This window comes from Homo sapiens, chromosome 10 (genome assembly GCF_000001405.40).
Source record: "Homo sapiens chromosome 10, GRCh38.p14 Primary Assembly".
In the NCBI taxonomy this organism is placed as follows: domain Eukaryota; kingdom Metazoa; phylum Chordata; class Mammalia; order Primates; family Hominidae; genus Homo; species Homo sapiens.
This window is the reverse complement of record NC_000010.11, coordinates 8,485,441-8,491,343: the sequence shown is the minus strand read 5'-3', so window position 1 is coordinate 8,491,343 and position 5,903 is coordinate 8,485,441. Positions and strand designations below refer to the sequence as shown.

The 5,903-nt window shown below is 39.4% G+C and overlaps 1 annotated feature.

Moving 5' to 3' along the window:
• Window positions 3,464-3,965: an enhancer, noted in NCBI's record as "NANOG hESC enhancer chr10:8529342-8529843 (GRCh37/hg19 assembly coordinates)". NCBI's record gives its function as "activates a minimal SCP1, AML or CMV promoter by ChIP-STARR-seq in naive H9 embryonic stem cells {active_cell/tissue: H9 hESC(naive)}" and the evidence as "EXISTENCE:reporter gene assay evidence [ECO:0000049][PMID:30033119]".

Here is a 5,903-nt window from a genome sequence, read left to right as displayed (position 1 = left end):
TGATTTCAAACAGCATGGGCCACTTGGGAAGATTTGGGTGAAATATGAAAAGGATGTGATTGACTAACCAAAATAGAATATAGACATATAGAAAGTGAGGTATTTTGTAAATTTCTGAATTACTTTACCCATATACAGTCTAAAGGACAAATTTGAAAGTAAACAAGTGCATTGGGTATTAAATTTTCATATGAGTGTGTGTGCACATGCATGCTAAACTGGGGGGCATACTGTTCAGTTACAAGTGCCTCATATGGGTTCCCAGCTTCAAAATTAAGTGTGCTTTTTCATTCCTGAAAGCACTAAACAAAGGAAGGATGCTAGCTTTCAGAACGCCCCAGATGGCACTGAGGTGGGAGTAGAGCAGTGTATTTGTCCATTCTCATGCTGCTAATAAAGATACACCTGGACTGGGTAACTTATAAAGGAGAGAGGTTTAATGAACTCACAGTTCAGCGTGGCTGGGGAGGCCTCAGGAAACTTACAATCATGGCAGAAAGAGAACTAATACGTCTTTCTTCACATGGCGGCAGCAAGGAGAAATGCTGAGCAAAAGGAGAAAAAGCTCCTTATAAAACCATCAAATCTTGTGAGAAATTACTATCATGAGAACAGCAGCATGGGGGTAACAGCTGCCGTGATTCAATTACCTCCCACCTAGTCTCTCCCACGACAGGTAGTATTATGGGAACTATCATTCAAGATGAGATTTGTGTGGGGACACAGCCAAACCATATCACGCATCATATGGGGACATAAGTGAAAGAAAAGGAATCAAAGGACCAGCTAGGGAGGGGCCTATCACTCCTCACAGGCCAAGTCTTCTTTACTCTGCAAAGCATCTCGAACCACTATTAACCCTCTGAGTGTGGATCTATAAATTCCTAAACTTGATGTGAATTTGGAGAACAATGCATGTCACTGGATGGAGGTGACATTTCTATGAGAAGAATGAGCTTTTATTGGAAGTGAAATTGGGCCATTTTATATGGGAGCCCTCGATGCCAATAAGCTCTCACTGTGCATATTAATAGACTTCTAGAAGAAGAGGGGTCAATTTTCCTGCCAGCAGAGTCATTTGTTTAACGTGAAAAGGTCTTCCAGAGCAACTGCAATGGAATTCCTCAGAACGCTGGCTTAAGGGATGAGCAACCCAGGCCTATTTTGTTTCAATGAACCCTTAAAGCCTCAGAGGAAGGAGATCCATACCCTCATCTGGGGAGGCAGGGAGTGAAGTCAGACCCAATGGCAAAGCCACGGGCAAACACAGTTTAGTGTCTGTGACACCCAGGGACTTTTTGTGAAATTAAACGACACATCTGGCAGAACCAGCCCCAGCTCCTGGGTGCTCCCAGAGGCCACTGCTCTGAGCCCTGATAAGATGCTATCAGCAGGCCCCTCTAAGTACGTTAAGCACTTTAAGCAGATCACTGGGCAATTACCATAAAGAGTGAAAGATACGGCCTCTACTGATGGGAGAGTAATATGGAACACAAGGCCATTGATATTTTTCTGCGTCTTATTTCTGATTATAAACTTGTTCTGCAGCCACCTGAGGTTAGTTGGTTTGCCATCGTACTGGAGAGTTACTGAGAATATATTTGGATACAAATATTTCGGAAGAGAGTCCTGCTTTTTAATTTACATGTGTGTTTGTGGGTTTTGGTTTTTTGTTTTGTTTTTTTTTTGTTTTGTAGAGATGGGGTCTCTACAAAAGAGTGCGTTTGCTTTTCTCACTAAAGTGCTAGAAGAACTTTCTAGTATTAATGGCTTTATCCAAAGGTTCTTAAGTGCCATATAGTAACTACTATGTATTACGTGCCTGCTATATTCCAGGCACCGAATGAGGCATTACCTAGATAGGATAATTCAATTCTCACAAAATTATACCTAAGGCAAATATGCCATCCTCACACTGCATATGAGAAAAACCAATGTCCAGAATGATTGGGAAACTTGCCCAAGCTCACTCAGATAATAAGCAGTGAAGAAGGGAATGAGACCTAGTAGATATTAGTATAGTTCTATGCAATTTTATAGGTAATTTTACCTGTATTCTATTAATTATTTAGCAATTACTCATTGCAGAGATACTGGAGAAGTAGAAATCAGAGTATTCAAAGCTTAGTTGTATAGAAAGATAAGTGAAGAAATACAGAAGACAGAATGATGACACAAGTTTCTAGCCTGGACCACTAACAGGATGCTAATGCCTTTAACCAAGTCCAGGGAAGAAAGAAAATAAAGAAAGAAAGAGCAAGAGGTGTGAAATGACAAGTTCCATTTCAGACAGTTTGTTTTAATTTTTAAAAATACACTTGTACATTATTAAAGTAATATAAATAAAAGAAATATTACTTTAGACCAGGTGTGGTGGCTCATGCCTGTAATCCCAGAACTTTGGGAGGCTGAGGTGGGAGGATTACTTGAGGTCAGGAGTTCGAGGACAGCCTGGTCAACATAGCAGGACCCCATCTCTAAAAATATTTAAAAATTTTCTAAAATTTAGTGCCTATTTAAGAAATATTATTTTAGTATATTTATTAGTTATTCTATATAATATAAAACATATATAAAATGTATATATTATACGCTTACAGAATACATATTTTCATATATTTATTATTGTTACTAAAGTAATATAAAAGAAAATTGAGAAGTGGGAAGAGGAAAAATAATAAATTATCCACAATGTCACCATTTCAGCCCAATTGTCCTCCATTTTTTATTCCTATATTTTTATATACATCTTTCTGTTTACAATTGCAGTGAGAGTGCATATCACATGATGGTTTTTTCTTTTCGTCATGTGATATTTCAAAAATGCTACATAATCTTCATATTTATTACTTTTCGTGTATCCCTCCCATCCCATCCAGAGGATATACTATTACTGACTTAACAGTTTCTTTTATTGTTTCGGCAATTAACTGACTTATGACTTTCTGCTATTTTAAATCAATTTGTGTTGAATAAATTCATGTACTCTCCTTAAGGGGCTCAGATGCCAAGAAATAGGATTCTGGGTAGGTCAGATTTTGTTTATTTTTGATGCTGGTGAATTCCAATAAAACGTTTATTGGACATGTGAATTCTGAGTCCAGCATTCAAGAGAAAAGTCAAGACTAGAGATACAGATCTGGGTGTAGAGACGCAGCTTTTGGAGAAAGATGCAGCCAAGGCACGGTAGGAGTTCTAAAACATGACGGCTACTTCTTTGATCCTTCTCCCAATGAGAGGGGCAATCTATATCCCCCAACCATGAGTCTGGCAGGGTTTGTAGTTGCTTTGAAGGAAAGATTTTGATGGCTGGAGAAGAAGTGTGTCTTACAATGGCAGGGAGCAGAGGACACTGTGGAATCTCCAAGGCTCCATCATGAAAGACTACAGGATATCCACCTGCTTCTCCTGGTGTGCTCACTCTGGAAGGTCCCAGTTGCCATGCTGTAAGAAGCCCTAGTCACATGAAGGAACCACAGGTAGGTGCTCTGCTTGAGTCTCAGATTAGACAAGACTTATGTCATCCCAGTCCAAGACCCAGACATGTGAGTGAAGAAACTTTCAGAAAATTCCAGTCTTCCTCCATTGGAAACATATCTCAGCCATTCGACACATCCCTGACCAGGACCCATAGAACACGGAAGAGATATAAGGCATCCCTGCTATGCCTTGTTCAAATTCCCGATGCACAGAATGCAAAAGTGAAATCAAATGGTTGATGCATCATGACTCACAGCTTAGGAAGGTTTGACAGGCAGCAATAAACCGTAGGCTAATTTGGTACCCGGAAGGGGTCTCCTCCATAACAAAAGGCGAAATTTGCAGCATTGGTTTTGGAGCACAGTGAAGGACAGAAGCCAAACAGTCCTCCCGGAGGCTATCAATGAGGGCTTGAAGGAGGATAGTGAAGACATTGGTGTTGGGAGCTAAGAAAGGAGCCATTGTTACATAGCAGCAATGCCTTCTGCAACACTGTCCCATGGAAAATGTGCTTAACAAACTCAACCACGAAGATAAAGGAGAATTTCAGGAGAGCGTTGAAGGGTTGCCTACATTTTAGCCCTCTAAAATAAAATGAGAGAGTAAGAGAGATAAACTAAAGAATGAATTACTCCATAATTTGGAGAAAATGTATAATTCAGAGGAAATGTAAATAGAAGGAAATGTAACTGATAAGAAACTTGAAAGGACCGTAACAGAGAGCAGAGTCCTCAAAATAAGAAATGAACTGGGCACAGTGGCTCATGCCTGTAACCACAGCGCTTTGGGAGGCCAAGGTGGAAAGATTACTTGACACTAGGAGTTCTAGACCAGCCTGGGCAACAAAGCAAGACCATGTCTCTATGAAAAATAAAAATAAAAATAAAAAAATCGCCAGGTATGGTGGCACATGCCAATAGTTTTAGCTTCTCTTCTCAGGAGGCTGAGGCAGGTGAATCACTTGAACATGGGAGTTGGAGGTTTTAGTGAGCTATGTTCTCTACACTGCACCCCAGACTGGGCTACAGAGGAAGACCCTGTCTCAAAAAGGAAGGGAAGGGGAGGGGAGGGGAGGGGAAAGGAGGGCCAACCTCAGGGCAAAGATAAAATCCAAGGCCTTTTCAAGAAAATATGGCCTCAGGGTAAGGATGAATTCCTTACCTACAGAATTCCTGAGAATAATAAAATGGTTATATTATGCCACTAAATTTGAGGTGGCTTTTCATGCAGCAAAAGGTACCTGAAACATGCACAAATGAAATTCTCAGAAGAGAGGCACCACGTGTGGAGAAGGAAGAGCTAAGGCCTGAGAGAACAAGGAGAAAAAAGAAATAAGCAGAATGAGAAGAGATATTCTTAAAGGAATCAATTGCTCATTATCACAAAATGGAATATAACTTCTTTCACTGGGCATAATTATTTTGAGAGTCATCCGTTTTATTTCATGTATTTAAGTGTATAGGTGTACAATGATTTGGTTATCCATTCACACTTTGAAGGACATTGGAATTCCTTCCAGGTTTTAGAGATGAAGAATAATGCTGCTAAAAGCATTCATGCACAGGTTTTTGTGTGAACCTAAGTTTTTGTTTATCTAAGATAAATCCCAAGGCATGATATTGCTGGGTCATAAAGGATGCATATGTTTACCTTTGTAAGAAACTGTCAGACTGTTTCCCAGAGCAGCTGGACCACTTTGCATTCCCACCAGCCGTGGAAGAGGATTCCTGTTGCTTCACATCCATCATCACTTGGCACCCTCGGTGCTTTTCGTTTTCGCTGTTCTAAGAGGTGCGTAATGGCATCTCATTGTGTTCATTTGTATGTTCCTAATGACTAATGATTTTTTCATTGGCTTACTTGCCTACCTTTTATCTTCTTGGTGAAGCTTCTGTTCAAATCTTTCATGCATTTTTCAATTAGGTTGTCTATTCCCTTATTGTTGAGTTTTGAGAGTTCTTTACTCCAGATATGTATCTTTTGTCTGATACATTATTTGCCAACATTTCCTCCCAATCTGTAGCTTATTGTTTCAGTTTCTTAAGTGTGTTCTTCGAAAAGCAAAATGTTTTTACCTTTCATGAAATCCAACTTATTTTTTTTTTTTTATGACGAGAGGGCTTACCTACAATGGGTCAGAATGAGGAAATTAGGGAAGGAGAGGAGTTGCTGAATCTATTCTGTATCCTGTTTGTGGGAGTAGTCATGAGAATCTATGCACATGTTAAGACACATTGGACTATACACCAAAAAATGTGAATGTAAATTCTTAAAAAATCTCTTTTACATCTACTAATATATGGCGGACAGAAGACTGTACCTGACATAAATCAGAGCTTTCCAATGCATAAAATCTTATTTTTTAATTAGAGAAAATATGAAACAGAACATATGTGTATAAGCGTGAAAGTGACATACGCTTA